Source organism: Homo sapiens, chromosome 3 (assembly GCF_000001405.40).
Source record: "Homo sapiens chromosome 3, GRCh38.p14 Primary Assembly".
Taxonomy (NCBI): Eukaryota; Metazoa; Chordata; class Mammalia; order Primates; family Hominidae; genus Homo; species Homo sapiens.
The window spans coordinates 49,616,018-49,636,891 of NC_000003.12; the positions used below are offsets into that span (position 1 = coordinate 49,616,018).

General features: G+C 48.9%; 1 protein-coding gene across 5 annotated transcripts in view; it reads left to right on the forward strand.

Annotated features, from left to right (window-relative positions):
• The window catches only part of BSN (bassoon presynaptic cytomatrix protein), a 118,654-nt gene that overhangs the window by 61,541 nt on the left and 36,239 nt on the right, over positions 1–20,874 (forward strand). For all 5 annotated transcript variants that reach the window (XM_047449150.1, NM_003458.4, XM_047449149.1 and 2 more), the window contains exon 2: positions 8,958–9,366. In XM_047449150.1, the coding sequence (XP_047305106.1) occupies positions 8,958–9,366 (409 nt within the window). The remainder of the gene's footprint in view (positions 1–8,957; positions 9,367–20,874) is intronic.

A 20,874-nucleotide genomic window follows, 5' to 3' on the forward strand; every position in this document is an offset into this window, starting at 1 on the left:
TTTCCACTTGGGGAGGTGGGTTTTATAAAAAATATGCATTTATATAATTGGTAGATGAATATTCATATGTTGGAGATGCTGAAACATGTTGTATTGATAGAGGCACATGATTAAAAAGGCAGGAGGCCACTGGCTTGAAGGCTGGGCAGGCCAGGATATGTTTTCTTGTGCAAAAACTGGAATTTTTTTCTAAGCCTAAACTTTCTAGATTCTCATATCCATTCCTGAGAGAGAAGCTCTAGGACACTGGACCTGGCCCCAGCACCCACTGCTCTACAGCCTCTGCTTTGCTGCCTGGGTGCACAGGAACCACTGGCGTGGCCCAGTAGTCCTTCCTGCCCTGGGACTCAAAGGAGAGGGTCCTCCCACAGCATCTGCCCATCCCTAATTGCCCATTACAGAAAGGTCAGCCATGAATTCATCAAAACCTCTTTTGAAGCTGTGGGGCTCTTCTGGCCACTCTGACTTAGAGAAACAGTTTCTTTAAGTTCACTCCCCTCCTGGTGAGCAAAGACAGCCATTTATTAATGGAAAACATTTCTTTCAAATCCTCAACTGAAGGCGGTGGGGGGCATGCTCTGGAATGCTGCCTTGTGGGGCCCAGCTTGGTTTTCCCTCTGGCGCCTGCACTGGCTCCATGCCTGGCTGCTTTTCCGTCTGGTCTGAATCAGCCTGGTCAGGCCCTCCTTCCCACTGTGCACCAGGGCAGCCACATCTCTCCTGGTGGTTCTGCCATTATGGACGTCACTGGTGTCTGAAGCATTTTTTAGTCACTGACGCTGGCCTCGTGCCTTTCTGGGGGCTTCTGACAGAGGGGAGCCCAGCCTCTCACCAGTGCAATCAGGATTATGTCTCCCAGCAGTGGTCCTGGGATGGGACAGGAGGCCACAGGGTACTAAGGATTGGTGGGGGAGAGGCTAACTGAATTTTCTCTGTTCCCGTTCCCAGCAGCCCTCCTGTGGCCAGGGGGCTCCTTCCTGCCTTGGCAAACAGCTCTGAGTTAAGATTGTTTCTGATCAGCTAATAGCCTTAAATGCTGAAAGGAAGAAAAGCTGGTAGAAATCTGGCTGTTTGTACATTGTTTACCTTTCTTGGCCATCTTAAAAATATATTTGTCCCAATATCTAATGCATGTGGGGCTTAAAACCTAGATGACGGGTTAATAGGTGTAGCAAACCACCATGGCACATGTATACCTATGTAACAAACCTGCACGTTCTGCACATGTGTCCCAGAACTTAAAGTAAAATAAAAAATAAAATACATTATATATATATATATATATATATATATATATATATAATTTTATAATTTGTCCCTAGATAAGGCATTTCTAGTCTTCCCTGTTTGACTTCTAGCCACTCCTTCATCTCTCTGCCCTTCCTGTCTCTTGTGTCTCCTTTATGGCGGCACCCCTCTCCCCTCCTTGCTTACACACCCTTACCCTGGCCCTCCCCAGCAATAGGACTCCCATGGCTGCTGGGAGGAGCAGTGGCCTCAAGGGGCCTCTCTGCTGATGAGGCCACATCCACAAGACCAAGTCTTCCTTGGGGTGGGCTGGGTCCTGCCTGTGGACACCTCCCTCTCTTTTTCCTCATTCCCTTCTTTCTCCTGCCCAGCGGCCATATTTTGGCGGAGACCTTTGTTTGTGTCTCTTAAGAAGAGCCTCCTGGAGGGCTTACCTCTTCCCTCCTGAGGAGGCCTTGGACGGGTGTAGTCACTGTGGCTCTCATGGAATGTGTGTTCAGGTGTGTGGTACAGACAGTTATGACCCCTGGAGCTCCTGCCACGGTGGGCCCTTGTGTTCAGCTGGAGAAGGAACTGGCCCCTCCCAAGCTGGACTGGTTTGGGACAGGGCTTGGGCATTTATGGTGTGTGGCACTCATAGGTGTAGCCTTTCTTCCTGTGACTTCTCGGCTTTCACATACGTAGACTCATCATGGCATGGGGCATTGTTGAGTGCTCCTCCTCATGGGAACTTCTATAACCCTGTGGGGTCATTCTCTTTTTTCTCCTTTCCCTGACTTCTCTGGTTCTGACATCTCCTCTACTCCTATGAACTTTGGTCCTCCCCACAAAGCTTTCTGGGTGATTTCTAGCCTGAGAATTGTCTGTGAACAAGACCTGTAACTCTCCCAGATAAAAATATCTACACTTATCTGAATTGAACTGAAGCTGTGACCCATCTCTTAATGTCTCTTACCCCCTACCCCCACCTCAACACAACCAAACCAAACCCAAACTTGTGATTTTGTGATTTCGCTTCCCATTTCTTACCCACTAATTGACTTCTCTCCCTGGATTCCCCATCTCAATTAAAAGGAACACTCCTCCCTGGAGCCAAAGCCAGAATACCTGCTGCTGTACCTTCCCTTCCTCTTGCCACACAGACTATCTCCTGGGCCAGTGCCTTATTCTCACTGGTTTCCTACCTCATCATCTTCTTCTCCTTGAAGAGACCCTAAACATTCCCCTATGTGAAAACCTTACAGGCTGTGCTCATTTTAGCTTTTAGCTTCCCAATTAGCTCAGGTAGTTCAACACACACTATCACACGATTGCTGGGAGCTGTTCTAGGTGCTGGGAGCACCAATGACTTACGTCTTCCAAGCTTATCCTGCGTAGCTACTCAGACTGAGCATGCTCTGCTGTGCCTCTGGGTCTTCGTGCATGCTGTTGCCTCTGCCTAGCATGCCCTGTCACCTTGGCATGAACAGCTCATCTTTTAAGACCCAGTTTAAATGTCTTCTCATCCTCAAAGACTTCTGCCTCTGTCCATCACTGGACCATGCAGCAGTGTGTCTTGCAGGGATTTGTTTGCACATCTGTCTCTACTCTAGACCAGAGGCTCTTGGAGGACTGGACTCCTATATGAATCATTTTTTAAAAAAATATTTTAATTAAATATTAAATGACTTTATAAAGAATATAAGAATACCTATACAACATGTATAAGATGTGAAGAATAAAATATGAACACCTGTGGACCCACCTTCCATTGAAGAGATATCATTCCTTTATACCATCAATACCTATTATAGGGCCTGGAACTAATCCAGGGGTCAGTAAATGTGAATTCCTGAATGAATGAATGAATAAATATCTATTGTTGGAGTCATTTTCTCTCTGAGTCTCCCAGCGTTGCTAGTTAAGTCCCAGGTGAATGGTGTCATGGCCCTAGCCCAGCCCCACTCTGTGAGCTCATTCTACTGTTCACACATTGTTCTGGTTGTTGTGCATGTGCTTACTGAGTGTCCATTCAATGCCAAGCGTGGCGCTGGGTCCTAAGGATATAGTGGGGAGCAAAATGGTGAAACCTCTTCCCAGGGAGCTTCCACGTAAGCAGCTCTTCAGAAAAAATAATCCAAAGAACCCAAACTGCAATGCTTTCTACCCCCTCTACAGCTACCCTAGAAAGGCAGTGTGGGATGTGGTTAAGGACATGGACTGGTGGCCTAGATATTGGAATCCCAGCTCCACCATTTGCAAGTCATGATGGCTTTGTATGTTACTTAACTTTTATGTGTGGCAGTTTTCTCATCTGTAAAATGGGCAAAATAGATCCTATCCAGTGAATTTGCTGTGAGGCTTAAAGCAGTTACTATGTGACAGGTGGCTCATGGTGAGGGCTCGGTCAGCATTACCACAATTATTGTCAGCAGAGCCTTCTATGGTACGGCTGGGGGTGTAGCCAACTGCTATAGGGAGGAACTTTAGGTATTGTTCCTGAAGTTCTCTCCTGCATGAAGTCAGACCCAGAGAAGGGCCGAGTGTCATGCCAGGCACTTGCCGTGTTTCCTCAGCTTTAAAACTTTGGGGCCACATTTTACTGCTCTGAGTCATTTAGTGCTTACAGTCACCCCATTCAGGAAATAAATATTGAGCATCCAGTTTGTGCCAGGCACTGTGGTAGGCCCTGGGACACAGCTGTGAGGAAAGCACACGGAGACTGTGCCCACACAGAACTGGCAGTTTAATGCAGGGATCCCAAAGGATATACAAAAGCAATAAATTTGTTATATGATGGGTCAGAAGGTGCTCAGTGCCACAGAGAACAAAGAGGCAGGGGAGACAAGCACAGTTTTAAATAGATTCAGGGTAAGTGTCCCTGAAAGGATGCCACCAGAGCAAAAACTTGAGAGGGAGCAAGTGTCTGCAGAAAGAACAGCAAATCCGAGGCGGGCGGATCACAAGGTCAGGAGTTCAAGACCAACCTGGCCAATATGGTGAAACCTCGTGTCTACTAAAAATACAAAAATCAGCTGGGCATGGTGGCACATGCCTGTAGTCCCAGCTACTTGGGAGGCTGAGACAGAAGAATTGCTTGAACCCGGGAGGCGGAGGTTGCCGTGAGCTGAGATCGCAGCACTGTACTCCAGCCTGGGCGACAGAGTGAGACTCCGTCTCAAAAACAAAACAAAACTAAAGAAAAAAAAAAGAAAAAAAAAACAAAGAACAGCAAATCCAATGGCCAAATGCACATGTCAGGAGTGGGCCTGGCATAAGGGAAGTGGAATCAGGGAGAGGATAATCAGAGATGAGGCCAGAGGGAAAGGGGCAAAATCTCATGGGGCCTTATGGGCCATTGTAAGACTTTTGGCTTTTCCTTTGGGAGGGAAAGGAAGCCAGTGCAAGGCTTAAGCAAAGCAGAGAAGTGGCCTGACTTGTGTATTTAAAGCCTTATTCTGGGGCTGGGCTTGGTGGCTCATGCCTGTAATCCCAGCATTTTGGGAGGCTGAGGTGGGCGGATCACTTGAGGTCAGGAGTTCAAAGCCTGGCCAACATGGCGAAACTCCGACTCTACTAAAAATACAAAAAATTAGCGAAGCATGCTGGTGTGCGCCTGTAGTCCCAGCTACATTGCAGTGAGCCGAGATTGCATCACTGCGCTCCAGCCTGGGCAACAGAAGGAGACTCACACACACACACACAAAAAGACTTATCCTGGCAACTGAGAATGGCTCAAACCAGGTGGGGTGAGGAGGAGGGAGTAGGTAGTAGTGGCCAGCTTCAGAAACCAACAAGATATACTGCTGGATTGACTTAGGATGAGACAGGAAGGGAGGCAGAGACGGCACCAAGGGGGAGACTAGGAGGCCCACATTTAGGGGGAAGATCAGGGGCTCAGCTTGGGTGTATCAAGGTGGAGATGCCTACAGGGCATCTCTGTGAAGATGTGGAGTTGGCAGTTAGACAGGTGAAGAGTTCAGAGCAGAGTTCTGGGCCAGAGATAGACATTTGGTGGGTATCAGTGGAAAGTGGATTTAAAGCCCTGAGACTGGGTAAGTCTTGAGACTTAGGGATTGTGAGTACTCACAGAAGCACGTTTGTGTAAAGACTGAGCCCTGGGTCTCTCCAGTGTAAGGAGTGGTGTTCTGGGGTTGGCAGATGAGGAAGAATCTGCAGAAGAGATTAGAAAGGTGTGGCCAGGCAGGAGGAGGAAATTCAGGAGAAGGTGGTATTCCCGAAGGCAAATAGTGAACTTATTTCAGGAAGAAGGGAGTGATCACCCAGGATCAAGTGCTGCTGATGGTCAAATGAGATGAGGAACTGAGATGTGACTGTCGGATTTGATGATGTGGAGGTCCCTACTGACTGTGACCTGAGTAATGTCTGTGGAGTGATGGGCAAAAGCCAGGTTGGAGGGGTAGGTTGAGAGGGAGAGAGGAGAGGAGTGGGAGGTAGTGAGTGGAGGCAGTTCTTTTATTATTTATTTTAGAGACAGAGTCTTGCTCTGTCACTCAGGCTGGAGCACAGCAGCGTCGTCCTAGCTTACCGTAACCTTGATCTCCTGGGCTCAAGAGATCCTCCTGCCTCAGTCTCCCAAGTTGGGATTATGACTTGGCAACCTGGCAAGTCACCTTGCCAGGCAAGTGGAGATAATTATTTTAAGGAGTTTTGCTGTAAAGAAGAGGAGAGAAATGGGGCAGTAGCTGAAGGAGTAGTGGAGCAAAGTACTGCTGCTTCTACTTTTTTGTTGTTTAGGATGGGAGAAGCTTGTTTGTATGATAATTGAAATGATCCAATAGAGAGGGGGAAATGGATGATGAAGGATAGGGGAGAATTTGTGAAGGTGAGAAGTGGGCCTTGGGATTGGGAGGCAGGTGAACACTGGGGGACAGGAGTAGGGAGGCTGAGGTTGTGCAGGTTTCTTCTGGTGGGTCCCACTTTTTTTGTGAGATGGTCAGCAGGTCATCAGTGGCAGTTAAGAGACAAAAGGAGGTGTTTGGAAGCTTGAAGATCAAGGAGAGGATATAAGGAAGCATCTAGGAAGATGGGAGAATACAAAGACCGTGGACATATATCGCGATCTCCAGGTGTCATGATGGCTACCATGAGGTGTGTGGGTGCACATCAATGCCAGGAACACTGCCCTTGCATGCAGACTTTGCTGGGTGCAGAAGACATTGCTTGTTTATTCACTGTCACCACAGCTGAGTTTAGAACCCTAAATGTCTCCAGAAAGACTATATTGTGATACAACATTGATTTAAAAAGTCACTGTATATATAGATTGCCTGCTACTTATTGGGCAACACAAATACAATAGAAATGGCTACATTTCTCAGAAGGCTTGCACCACCTGGAGAGGGGGCCACAGCCCATTCACATGTTGTAAAAAGCTCTCAGTAGCTTCTGATTTGCTTTCAAGGGCTGCCTTTAAACTCCAGTCTTAAATAATTTATGTAAAAAATGAAACTATTAATTTGGACAAGTGGGAAATATTTCTTTAGGATACCTAGAAATTAGTATACTGAAAGGGCCCAGAGAAGCCCAGGTTCCCAGTGTGGGCCACTGATGCTGTGGCCACCACCATGCTAGGCTTCACAGCTGGTGGCAAAGATGGCCCTGAGGGGTTGGACTCAAACTCTGGTTGTCTTGCTGAAGAAGCAATTGGCGGGTCTGTGACTGGATAGTTAGGTCTGTGCCACTGATGGTTGATGACAGGAATGTTAAACACTATTTAATAGTGTTTCTTTTTTTTAGGAGAGTCTTTATTAGACCAAGGATATGTTTCTCTACCCGCCAGTTCCTCAGAAGGGAGGAAGGATTGCAGAGTATCTTGGGGTGGGTGTCCCCAGGCGGGCTCCTCATCTTCCCCCTGAAATGGCTTGTTCTAAGCTGCCCTATCAGTTGGCTCTTAAATCTTTTTGGCAAGCAGATGGCCTTCAGATGGGGGCAGCAAACTTAGAATCTTCTCCTGGGGCACTGAGGCAGCAGCTACCAGGGCAGTCTCCTGCACAGGCTGGGCCTCCACACTGCTCTCAGCAAGTCAGCCCTGTTTCCTGAGTGCCAGCATTCACCCCAATGAGTACAGACTAAAGCAGGGAGAGAATTTCAGGGAAGCAGTATAAAGCATTGTCTTTGGCTTTTTGTGCTCATCCTCTTTCAAACTGGAAAAGAGGAAAATTGCAGAGATGAACTTAAGTTGGGTCAAAGGAGAAGGAATATATGATTGACATTTAGCCTGACAGTTTGCTTTCTACCTCATGGAACTACCCAACACTGTTGGCTCCTTTGCAGCCAGATTGGGATGGAGGTGAGGGTTAGATGCATTGGACCTCACTCAGTGGTTCCTCAAGGCTGGATCCTGGAACTCCAGCCCCACCCAGCTTCACACTAGTGGAAAAGTAACACTTTATCCCATCTTGGTAGATTTGGTCTGGCATCAGGCTTGCCAGAGGGCTACCAGAAGGAAGGCTCCTTTGTGTAGAGGCAGGCCCCTGATACAGGAGATGGCATTAACTAGGCATTGCAGTATCCCCCATCCCCAGCAATCTAGGGTCAGCCTCTGAAGGGGTTCAAGGCAGGATATAGCAGATTGGCCAGTATGGTATCTCAATATAGTAACTTGGGCTCATGTTGGAATCACCTAGGGAGGAAAAAATACTAATGCCAGGGTCCTGCCTCCATAGATTTTTATGTAATTCGACTGAGGTGCAGTCTGGGAGTCGGAATTTTAAAAATCACCCTAGGTATTTCTTTCTTTTCTTTTTTTTTGAAATGGAGTCTCGCTCTGTTGCCCAGGCTGGAGTGCAGTGGCACGATCTTGGCTCACTGCAAGCTCCACCTCCCGGGTTCACGCCATTCTTCTGCCTCAGCCTCCCAAGTAGCTGGGCCTACAGGCGCCCACCACCACACCTGGCTAATTTTTTGTATTTTTAGTAGAGACGGGGTTTCACCCATGTTGGCCAGGATGGTTTCGATCTCCCGACCTCTTGATGTGCCCGCCTCGGCCTCCCAAAGTGCGGGGATTCCAGGCGTGAGCCAACGTGCCCAGCCTTTTTTTTTTTTTTTTTAGACAGGGTCTCACTCTGTTGCCCAGGCTGGAGTTCAGTGGCACGATCTCTGCTCACTGCAACCTCTGCCTCCTGGGTTCAAGTGATTCTCCCACCTCAGCCTCCCATGTAGCTGGGTTTACAGGTGTGCGCCACCAAGCTCAGCTAATTTTTGTATTTTTAGTAGAGATGGGGTTTCACCATGTTGGGCAGGCTGGTCTTGAACTTCTGACCTCAAGTGATCTACCTGCCTTGGCCTCCCAAAGTGCTGGGATTACAGGCTTGAGCCACCATACCTGGCCCATCCCAGTTATTTCTAACATGTAGGTTTAGAATCTTGGTATTCAAAGCATGGGCCTCAGATGAGAGTATTGGCATCACCTTAGAGCTTCTTACAATGCAGGCCCTACTCAGATCTACTGAATCAGAGTCTGTACTTTATCAGAATGTGAGAGGACATGTTTTAATCCTGCCTCATGCCCTGGTGCCAAGGGTTCAAGTTGGAGATGCTTGTCAAGGCTCAGCACAGGACACAGCAAATGAGGGCCATGATGATTCTTCTGGGCAGGAGGAAGAGGGTGGTGATGGGGCTTGGCAGGGTCACCTAGCTTGGTAGAGACCTCCGCAAGCTGCTTCTCTAAGCTGTATCTCTAACAGTCATTTTCAATGTCATTTCAGCACTTCCCGGAGACTGGACCCCAAGGAACCCCTGGGTAACCAGAGAGCAGCTTCCCCAACTCCGAAGCAGGCTTCTGCTACCACTCCTGGCCATGAGAGCCCCCGAGAGACAAGGGCACAGGGACCAGCAGGCCAGGAGGCTGATGGTCCCCGCAGGACGCTGCAGGTAGACAGCAGGACACAGAGATCAGGGCGGTCCCCCTCAGTGTCACCGGACAGAGGCAGCACCCCCACATCACCCTACTCCGTCCCTCAGATCGCCCCCCTTCCCAGCAGCACGCTGTGTCCCATATGCAAGACTTCGGACCTCACGTCGACCCCCAGCCAGCCAAACTTCAACACCTGCACCCAGTGTCACAACAAGGTCTGCAACCAGTGTGGGTTCAACCCCAACCCTCATCTCACCCAGGTAACCACTTCTGCGCCGGCTCCCCACTCACCTGCTACCTCATTACCATACCTCCCCTGGTTCCCTTCCCCTCTTTCACCAACTCTCTTTTCCTGGTCATTTCCCTTGACCACCAGCATTTGTGTCCTCCTGCAGGGATGTGTCCTGGTTCCAGGATGTGGCAGCAAAGAACAGGGCCTGGCCCCAGATCTCCCAAGGGATTTCTGCATCCCCTGAAAGCTTGGGTAGAGTCTGAGAGTAGAAGATACTTTCTAACCTGGTCCAAGTTTGGTCTGGAAAAATGGCCTTCGAGAGGACCAAAGACAATCTTATGAACAATTTTTCCCAATGGAACTCATTTGGAGTGGGCCATGAGCAGCTCTAGGACACAGAGGGAGGCAAATTTCCCTGATCTAGGCCAGGAGGCCTCTGTCTTTGACAGCAGGCCCTAGATGGGGATGCTGGTGAGGGGAGAAAAGTTTCAGGGGAGGCAGGAAACTGCCTTCCAGCTGGGCTCTGGGAAGCACCTCTTCTTGGCTTTAGTTCTAGTCAGCTGGGGACCTGAGGTGGTGGGGCAGCTACCCCATCCCTAAAGAAATGACCTTGGGGTAAAGAACCAGGCTGGGAACCAAGCATTCACCAAGGATGACAGTGTCCTACACTCACCAAGAGGCCACTGTAGGACCATTTCTGTGAGTTTGGCTTCTTTTTCGCCCAAGAGGACAAGAGGACTCTGGGTCCACAGCCCCAGCCTGGCTTTGTTCAGGATGCTTTGAATGACTGTGGGATGTCTCACCAAATGAGTTGGGGCCATCGCTTTAAAATGAACAGAGTAGGTCTGCTGATTTCCTCCTACTCCTCTGGGAGTAGAAGCCTCTGTTTCTCCCCACAAGAATCCGTCTTTGGATAGGATGGAGAGAGGCTGGCTGCAGGCACGGGCATGGCTGCCTCTGGGATTAACAGCAGCTGGAGCCGTTTGGACCATGTGGGAGGGGGCTGAGTGAGAATAATTGTTCACAGGTCAGGGTCTATATATGCCATGAGGTGCTGTGGGTGTGGGACGTGTGGTTTGTGAGAGGTAAGTGTGAGATTCTGAGGAAGGAGCTGTCGGTGTGGGGAGATGACTCAGTGCCTTTGGAGTTGCTCCTGGAGTGTGGGGGCTTCCTGAAGAGGCGTGCATGCTCGTGATTATTGCATCTGTGATTAGAAACAGGCCATCCTGCACTGTTCAGTTAGGTAAGTGCTTGCTGTTCAGAATTTGGAACAATACGATTAAGGCCAGGGAAGCTCACCTGTGTGTTTCTGCCAGTGAGAAGCCAGAAGCCCCTCACAGGAACAGGGAGGCTTGGCAGGTGGACTGTACCGCTATGGGACATCCCCTCCTCATGCTGGCCTTGCCCCTCTGGGTTCCAGCTCCCTTGAGATGCAGCACAGCACCTGGACAACTCCGAGTGAGGTGGGTGGGGATAAGGAAGAGCCACACATGGTGGCCCCAGGCTCCTGGTGGGCATCCCATTCCTCACCAAACCATGGCCCCTGCCTATAGGCTCTCCAAGCCCAGGACCTTCAATGAGGTGGGAAGGGAGCCAGCCTTTGGCTGTGCCTGGAAAAACAGCAGAGTAGGAAGACCTTGGAGACACTCAGTCCATCTGCCTCATTGTGCTGGGAGGAAGCTGAGGCTCAGGGCCAGGAGAAGATGGGGCCTCACACTTACTTCAGATCCATAGTGTTTGGTGAAGAGTGGGTCTCAGCCAAATACTTCAAACAAATGCTGGGCTGGACAAATGAAATGTTTCTTTGCTGTGAGATTCCTCAGGATTTTCAGTGTCCTGAGGGGCATCACAGAGTTCCAGGACAGGGCTATGGTTGGCAGCCTTTCCCAGACTTGCTTTCACAGAACATCTTAGGAGCTGCTGTTCCATGGCACCCAGTTTGGGAATTGCTGACCTGGTCCCTTCTCCAAGTTCACACATGGTGAATACCCTTCTCTGCTGGGGTTTTCAGGTAGAACCTTCGCTTCTCTAGAGTTGGCTTTCAGTGGTGTTCTTGTTAAGGAAAAAATAATCCTTGGCACATCTTCCTGAGGGGTGATAAAGCATAATTCGTGAACCAGTGCAGTTGCTCTTTGTCACTTTGCTAAGAGCAGGTTCACCTTCCTGGTCATGCTTCCATGTGATGAGAAAACAGGTTTGCAGGCTTTGCTCACACACCTGCTGTTAGATCTGTCCTAGTCAGACTACATCTGTCCTGGCCACTTCTAACTTGATGTTATGTCAGTCAAGAAGGCTGGGATTGCCCTGGTGTCTCTGGGCTGAACTCCTGCCTGGCCTGAGATTCTGGGCATGTGTAAGGGGCTGGTTCTGAAGTTAGGTGTCTGGGTGGGTGATGGGGTCAGAGAGAGTGACCTTTTCCAGGAAACTCAGCTACAGCACTCACTTTCTTTTTCAGTTCCTCACTTCCCAGGAGTGGCCCAATCAGAGTAGAAAAAGGTAGAGGTACTGCCAGTCCCAGCGCAGATGCACTGCAGACACTGGCAACTGGAGAGTGTCCTGGGGATCCTGTGTGGGCTGGGTAGTATGCCTGGAGCTGCTAGTGTAGTCACGCTGAGCCTGGTTGAGGAGGTCCAGCAGCCTGGGTGCTGTGTCCAGGGCGTGTCGGCAGGATGCGTTGTTCCTCAGCTTCCCAGTGGACAGAGGGATATAGCAGTCCCAGAGAAGGACGTGGGCCACACAAGTGACATGGAGGCTTTCAGGGCATCTCCAAGATGACTAGTGAAACTGTGCTTGGAACTTTGAAATGTGACCGCAGAAAATGGAACTTTGTTCATGTGTGTCACTAATAGAGACTTACTGGCTGGTTTGGAACTCAAGCTGCTGTGTAGATCTGGAGTGTGATTGAACAGTTGTGCCGAATGGCTGCATGAGGACAAATGCACAGAAAGGAGGGAAAGAACTTGGCCCCACTGGGCAGTGGTCACCAGGACTTGGTGTTTTTGTTTTTGTGTATGATGGCATCAGTCAGAGTTATTACTTTAGCTGAGTGCTGCAGAAACAGCAGATGAGATCTGGAGATGGGAATCACACACAGTTAGCTCCATTTGGCTAGCAGCAGTGTCTGAGATCTGGAATCACTGTTTTTCTGGCCAGCGGACCCAAGTTTCCCCTATCAGCCCTAGGCTGCTGGAGGTCTACTACACTTACACAGACAGACATGGTACTCACCATTCTGCCCATCCAGCAGAGAGCAGGAGGCCTGCCCATGTAGTTTGCTGGGTTTCTGAGTGCCTAGAGCATGTTGAGACTGTATGGAAATTGGGGAAGGAGCTCAGAGCACAGTCCCTGTTTACAGATGAGGAGACTGAGTCTTAGGAAGTCTTGGCTTATTCTGGGTTATTCTGGAGCAAAAGAGCTGTGGATCTAGACCAGTGGCTTGGTCTCCAGCTTTCCCCCAGGGATTTGCAGCCTCATTTTCCCCATCCATAGTCCATTTTGCTAAGGCTGAAGCTGGTTCAGAACAAATAGGGCAGTCCCAGATACTCTTCTTGGTGGAGGCCATTTCTTTCTGGATATCCCCAGTCCTCGTAGCTCAGGGCAAGCGAGTAATTTAACCTGTCCGAAACCACAGAGAAAGACTGGGTGTTTCTGTTTGAGGCCTGAACATTTCTCACCACCCACAAGAGACCCTCCCTCTGACAATGCACTGATGCCAGGGGGCCAGAGGTGTTAGCATTCAGTCCTTACTGACAAGGAGAAGGCAGGAAGACCATTCTCCTTTTCTCTCTGTAGATGTGGGGTTTTGGACAAATACTTGAATTTCCTGAATGTCAGATTTCTCTGAAGGAAAAGCAGGATTCCAAGGATTGGCATCAGTGCCTTTGCTAATGCCCATGCCTGCTCAGGCCTGCTAGTCCACCTTTCCGTTCTTCAGTGACTTACATGTGGGCCCGCCACCCCTTTCTGCACCAGAAGGGTGGCCCGTGTTGCCCTTGTTAGGCTTCTATTCTGACAGTTGGGGGTGGGAGGGAGACAAGGCATGGGCCTGAGCCTGCTAAGTAGAAGATGAGAAGATGCAGTTGGGGTGGGCAGTGGGGATGGGAGTGAGTTGCTGGGGAATATGAACCGTGGCCTGGGGCAGGCATAGCCTGCTTCTATAGGCTTCTCAGGGACTTCCATGCCCCACTCAGAGCAGCCCCAGAAGCACATCCTGGCCTGGAGCTCCTGCAGATGCCAGTCTGTCCTCATCCTCAGAACAGCATCCCAGGAGTGACTGCGGTGCAGAGGCAGGGTTGCCTGCATGCCCGAGCCTCCAGTCTGATCAGCTGAATCCTCCCAGAGCACCATCTAGAGTGAAGGGGCCCACGCTCTGCCCCTGTGGGGAGCAGCAGGGCTGCCACCCCATCCCCAGCCTTCCAGGCCAAGGTGGTCCATCTGCCTCCCACCACCCTTGCTCTAGTCAGAATTACTTATAAGCCTCTCTAGGAAAACTACAGAGGAGTAAGCATGGTCTTACCTCATCCATTCCAAGGTCTGGACTTTGCTGAGGCCAAGCCAAGGATATTTAACCCATACCATCCCCAACTCCTACCCAATGGCAAACCATGAGCCTACGCAGTTTCCCAGGGTGGGCGGCGTGGAGAAGGGAGGGAGACAGTGCAGTGGCTCCGAGCCTCTCTCTCCCCTGCCTGCATCCCACTGCTTTCCGGCAAGGGCCAGGGCTCCAGATGGCTCGGGGGTGGTGCTGTGAGTTCAGTACAGATCCCTCTGCTACAGCCAGCAGCCTTGTCTCATTCCCTCTACTCCCTCCTGGCCACACTGCCACCTGGGCCAGAGAGGAATGAGGAGCAGGTTTCAGGACATGGGACCAGCAGTGTACTGAGGGGAGGTAAAGGTGTCTTCTGCTTTCCTGGGCCCAGGAGGGTGTCTGCCCAGCCTTCCAATGCTCACCTCCAAACAAAATGGAAGTGGATCTCCAGGTGGCAGGCCCTTCAGGAGGCCTTTCTCCCACCGAATAGCTAGTCCTTGGGCAGTTTGCTTTAGAGTAGCCACTTTGACCTAAACAGTCTCCAAGTCAATAGAGAAATACTCTCCAAACTTTAGTCACTCTGGAGCAGCCAGCCCTGTTGCTTAGTACATGCCCCGAAGTGGTCCATGTTCCCAGAAGACAGGACCTTTGGCCTGCTTACTTGCTTGGACCACTGCAGGGTGGAGGCCACAGCCACTGGGGCCGTGAGGAGACAACAGGCATGGAATTCTACCTTTTAGTTATGGAAGAGGGCCATAAGTTAAGCTAAGAATGAATGTAAAATTAATTCAGATCTGAAAATAAGAAATTTTACTCCTAAAACACTTGTTTTCATATCTAAGGGCAAAGGAAACAGAATAAAAAGAAAATGCAGTAAAAATGGTAGAGAAAAAAAGAAATCCATGAATAAAGTAGGAGTTGGAAGAAGTGGAAGAAGGCACAAGAAGGGGAGGCAGGAAAGGGAGGTGATGGAAAGAGAGCCAGAGGCAGGAAGAGGCAGGGACCAGGAAATCTTGGTAAAGTTCCCAGTTGCTGGCTGGTAACCTGTTGGTTTTGCTGCTTCTACTCTTTATTTTGCTCAGCCTTTGGCCTGGACAGGCATGTTTAACCCACTGAGTCAGAGGGCAGCCCTCTCCCTTCTTCCTGTCCTTGCCTCCCTCCACAGTGCTTTTCAGTCCTATTGATAGCCGGGAACTGTCCCAGACACTGGAGAAACAGGTAGAAATGAAGCAGATGTGCTGCTCAGCTCTGTGAAGCCTTCAGACCAGTGCAGGAGGCACCACTGCCACCAAGAACCACACAAGCAAACACACAATCACATCTGGGGTCAAGGAGGGGAGGGCTATGGCGGGTGCTGTTGGTACGATGCTGAGACAAGATTCCTGGGGGTAGTTGGGCATGGTGGCTCACACCTGTAATCCCAACACTTTGAGCAGCTGAGGTGGGCAGATCACTTGAGCCCAGGAGTTCAAGACTAGTCTGGGCAACATGGCGAAACCCCATCTCTACAAAAAAAATACATGGTGCAAAGATACATGGTGGTGCATGCCTGTAGTCCCAAGTATTTGGGAGGCTGAGGTCAGAAGATCACTTGAGCCTGGGAAAATCTAGGCTACATGAGCCATGATCATGCCACTGCCCTCCAGCCAGGGTGACAGAGTAAGACTCTGTCTCAAAAAAAAAAAAAAAAAAGTTATTGGGGGCTTCTCCAAAGAGAGCATTAGGCTGTAGAATGTCAGAATTGCTGGATGGGAGGCAGTTGGAAAAAGAGGAGGCCTGAGGGGATGTGCTTTGTTCATGTGAGGGTTCAGGAGCAAAGGTCCAGGACAGCTGTACCACAGGACAGGACCAGAAGGCATGCAGGTCCTGCTGGGCTTGCTGGGGTCTCCTGATGCACTCCCAAGGTTTGGGAAGGTGGCAGTAGGAAGGTCAGATGTGCATTTAAAACACCCCTCTGATGCAATCTCAAGGGCCCTTCAAATAGCCAAAATAATTGTGAAAAAGAAGAACAAAGCTGAAGAACTCACACTTCCTGATTTCAAAACTTACTACAAAGTTACGGTAATCAAAACAGTGTGGTACTGGCATAGAGACATATAGACCAATAGAGTAGAATACGTAGCCCAGAAATAAACCCTCACATATACGGTCAGATGATTTTTGATAAGAGTGCCAAGACCATTCAGTAGGGAAAGAACAATCTTTTCAACAAATGGTGTTGGGAAAACTGGATATCTACATGCAAAAAAATGAAGTTGGACCTTTTCCTTACATCATATACAAAAATTAACTCAAAATAGATCAAATACCTAAACATAAGAGCTAAAACTATAAAACTCTTAGAAGACAACATAGGGGATAAGCTTCACAACATTGGATTTGGCAGTGGTTTCTTGGATATGACACCAACAGCACAGGCAACAAAAGAAAAAATAGACAAAATAGACTTCATGAAAATTTAAAAATTTTTTACATCTAAAGGCACTATTAACAGAGTAAAAAGGCAACCCACAGAATGGGAGAAAATACTTGCTAATTATATATTTGATAAGGGATTGATATCCAGAATATACAGAGAAGTCTTACAACTCAACAACAGAAATAAACAAACAAAAACCCAATTAAAAGTGGGCAAAGAGGCCAGGCGCAGTGGCTCATGCCTGTAATCCCAGGACTTTGGGAGGCTCAGGCAGGCAGATTGCCTGAGCTCAGGAGTTTGAGACCAGCTTGGGCAACATGGTGAAGCCCCATCTCTACTAAAAATAAAAAAATAAGCCAGACGTGGTGGTGGGCACCTGTGCTCCCAGCTGCTCGGGTGGCTGAGGCAGGAGAATCGCTTGAGCCCAGGAGGCGGAGGTTGCAGTGAATCAAGATCGCACTACTGGGTGACAGAGCCAGACTGTGTCTAAAAAAAAAGTGGGGGGGAGCAAAGAGGAGTCAGGTGTGGTGATACACACCTGTCTTCCCAGATACTTGAGAGGCTAAGGTGGGAGGGTATCCTGAGCCTAGGAGTTTGAGACCAGCCTAGGCAAATAGCTAGAACCTGTCTCTGAAAAACAAAATGGGCAAAGGACTTGAAGAAACATTTCTCCAAGGAAGATATACAAATGGCTAATAACTCCCTAAAAGATACTCAACATAGGTCGGCTATGGTGGCTCACACCTGTAATCCTAGCACTTTGGGAGGCTGAGGCGGGTGGATCACCTGAGGTCAAGAGTTTGAGACTGGCCAACATGGAGAAACTCTGTCTCTACTGAAAATACAAAAGTTAGCTGGGTGTGGTGGTGGGCACTTGTAATCCTAGCTGCTCAGGAGGCTGAGGCAGGAGAATCGCTTGAACCTAGGAGGTGGAGGTTGCAGTGAGCCAAGATCACGCCACTGCACTCCAGCCTGGACAACTGAGCGAGACTCTGTCTCAAAAAAAAAAAAAAGAAAAAAAGAAAAGATACTCAACATGACTAATCATTAGAGAAATTCAAATTGAAACTACGGTGAGATACCATCTCATACTCGTTAAGGATGGCTGCTGTAAAAATAAATAAATAAATGTTGGCAAGAATGTGGAGAAATTGGAACCCTTGTGCACTGTTTTTAGGAATGTAAAATGGTACAGCCACTCTGGAAAACAGTATGGCAGTTCCTCAAAAAATTATAAATAGAATTACCATATGATCCAACAATTCCACTTCTGGGTATACACTCAAATGAATTGAAAGGAAGGTCTTGAAGAGATATTTGTACACCCATGTTCACAGCAGCATTTTTCACAATAGCTAAAATGTGAAAACAACCAACAGCCCATTGACAAATGAGCAAATATGCAAAATATATGTATATACATACATACACACAACGAAATATCATTCAGCCTTAAAGAGGAAGGACAATCTGACACATGATACAACATGGACGAACCTTAAGGACATTATGCTAAGTGAAATAAGCCAGTCACAAAAAGACAAATATGAGGTGGTCAGAGTAGTCAAAGTCACAGAGACAGAAAGTAGAATGGTAGTTGTCAAGAGCTGGAGGAAGAGGGGAGCCGGGTGCAGTGGCTCATGCCTGTAATCCCAGCACTTTGGGAGGCCGAGGCAGGCGGATCACAAGGTCAGGAGATCGAGACCATCTTGGCCAACATGGTGAAACCCCATCTCTACTAAAATACAAAAAAAAATTAGCGGGGTGTGTTGGCCCATGCCTGTAGTCCCAGCTACTTGGGAGGCTGAGGCAGGGGAATTGCTTGAACCCAGGAGGCGGAGGTTGCAGTGAGCTGAGATAGTGCCACTGCACTCCAGCCTGATGACAGAGCAAGACTCTGCCTTTAAAAAAAAAAAAAAAGAGCTGGAGGAAGGGGGAATGGGGAGTTTCACGGGTACAGTTTCAGATTTGCAAGATGGAAAGAATTACGAAGATGAATGGTGGTGATGGTTGTACAGCATTATGAATACAATACCACTGACCTGTACACTTAAAAATGGTTAAGGTAGTAAATTTATGTGTATTTTACCACAATAAAAACAATGCAAAATTTTTTTTTTATTTGTTCATTTGAGATGGAGTCTCGCTTTGTCGCCCAGGCTCAAGTGCAGTGATGCAATCTTGGCTCACGGCAACCTCTACCTCCAGCCTCCCAAGTAGCTGGGATTACAGGCATGTGCCACCACACCCGGCTAAGTTTTGTATTTTTAGTAGAAATGGGGTTTCACCACATTGGCCAGTCTGGTCTCGAAATCCTGACCTCAAGTGATCCACACGCCTCACCCTCCCAAAGTGCTGGGATTACAGGCGTGAGCCGCAGTGTCCGGCCAAAAATAATGCTAATTTTAAAAACCCTCTGGAAATAGACAGAGGTGATGGTTACACATTATGAATTATTAATGCCACTGAATTGTATACTTTAAGATGGTTAAAATTACAATTTAATATTTATTTTAACACACACTATATATGTGTGTGCATATATATACATATACACTAAAACAACACATACACATACACACACATATATATACACCCCTCCCCCGCCCAGCTGCTATGTGAAGAACAGCCTGCAGGGGTAGCGGGTGGGCTCTGGGAGCCAGAGTGGCAGAGGGGGCTGAGGCTGAGGCTGGGGTAGTGGTGATGATGACTGCGAAGAGCCATGATAGATTCCTGGTGTGTTTGGGTGGCTAAACAGACAGAATTGGATTGGATGTGGAGGGTAGGAGATGGAGATAGAGAATTTTTCTGTTTGGGCCATTGCCAAGTTGAAGGTGCCTGACAAATCTAAGACCCTGGCATGAAACAGGCAGGTTGGGATGGAGACTTTTGTTTCATATTCACAAGCATATAGTGACATTTAAAGTGCCATAGGAGAGATGTGGACAGAGAGAAGAGGTGTCAGGATCTGGGCTCCCCAGCACTGAGAAGAACCCAGCAAAGGTGGCTGGCAAGGATAAGCAAAGAAGAGTAGAAAGGCCAGCAAGTGGAGGGCCAAGGGATCCAGGAGGGGAGAATATCTGAGCAGTAGTGGGGAGTCAACTGCCAAGAGCCCATCACAGGAGCTCTTGATGCCTTGCTGGGTGGAGCAAAACAGAACAACCAGGTTGACAAGTCATTTTTACCCCCAACCTCAAGTTATGAATATTTTCAAGCCTACAAAATTGTTGAAAGAATTGTACAAGGAACACCCACAAAGCCACTATCTGGATTTATAATGAACCCCTCCTCTCCTGGCTTTATCACGTATCCATTCTACCATCTATTTGTTCTTCTGTCTGTCCATCTATCCATCCATCTTTTTGTTGAATGTCAAAGTACATTGCAGTGGGCCAGGCATGGTGGCTCACACCTGTAATACCAGCACTTTGAGAGGCGAAGGTGGGAGGATTGCTTGAGCCCAGGGATTCAGGAGCAGCCTGAGTAACATGGCAAAACCCTGTCTCTACCAAAAAAAATACAAAAATTAGCTGGGTGTGGTGGCGCCATGCCTGTAGTCCCATCTACTCGGGAGGCTGAGGTGGGAGGATCACTTGAGTCTGGGAGGTGGAGGTTGCAGAGAGCCATGATCATGGCACTGCACTTCAGAACCAGACCCTGTCCCCCTCCAAAAAAAAAAAAAAAGTACATCGCTGATATCAGTATACTTCCCACTAAGCACTTCAAGCGTATCATTAACTAGAGTTCAGTATTTATTTAAGGTTTCTCTTTTTTAGCTAAAATTTACATATAATGCAATGTACAGCAATTAATTATTCCAGTCGGTGAGCTTTGAGAAGTGGTCTGCAGCTCAGCCCCATGTGGGTTGCAGGTCATCTGGAGTGACCATGGAAGTCATTTAGCAGGAGTTTAAGAGGCGAGGGCCAAGGACTTGCAGGCCAGGATAAAGGGGCCTGGAGGGAGGGCAGCAGAAGCCAGGAGGGGAAGCTGGGCATGAACCAAAGGGTCCTGGGGATTTTAAGGAGAAGTTGAGGCTAGTCCAAGGGTCCAGCCTCTCCTGGAGAGGGTTACTGGTGACTAAGAGGAGTGTGTATGGGGAGGGTGCAGGGGAGTTGGCCAGTCATGGATGGGGTGTGTTACAGGGTACACCAGATCATCCTGGGTCGGGAGGGGGGCTGTCCAGAGCAGTGTGGGAGGAGTTAAGAGATATTGAGGGCAGAGAGACAGATGTGTCCAGGGATCAGCAAGGGGACGGATCCTCTCCCTTTCGTGGAGATCCAAGCCAGTGAGGTCTTCTAGCCCCAGGTGCGATTAGGTTCAGCCTCCACTCCCCAGATCCTGACCTCAGATGTTGGGCAGGTTCCCAAGACCTTCCTCAGGGCTCTGATAGATTGGCACAGGCCTCCCCTGGCTGGTCCAGCTCTGGATCAGTGTGACCCTGCCCACTGGGACCCTGTGGTACCTGCTTCCTAAGCCTGAGGTCAGCTAGCTGACAGTAAGGTGCTAGATGGGGCAGGCAACATGTCTATTGCTGTACCAGGGTGAGTATCCAGGCTAGGCCTGACTCCCTCCCTCTCAGCTGCCACCTT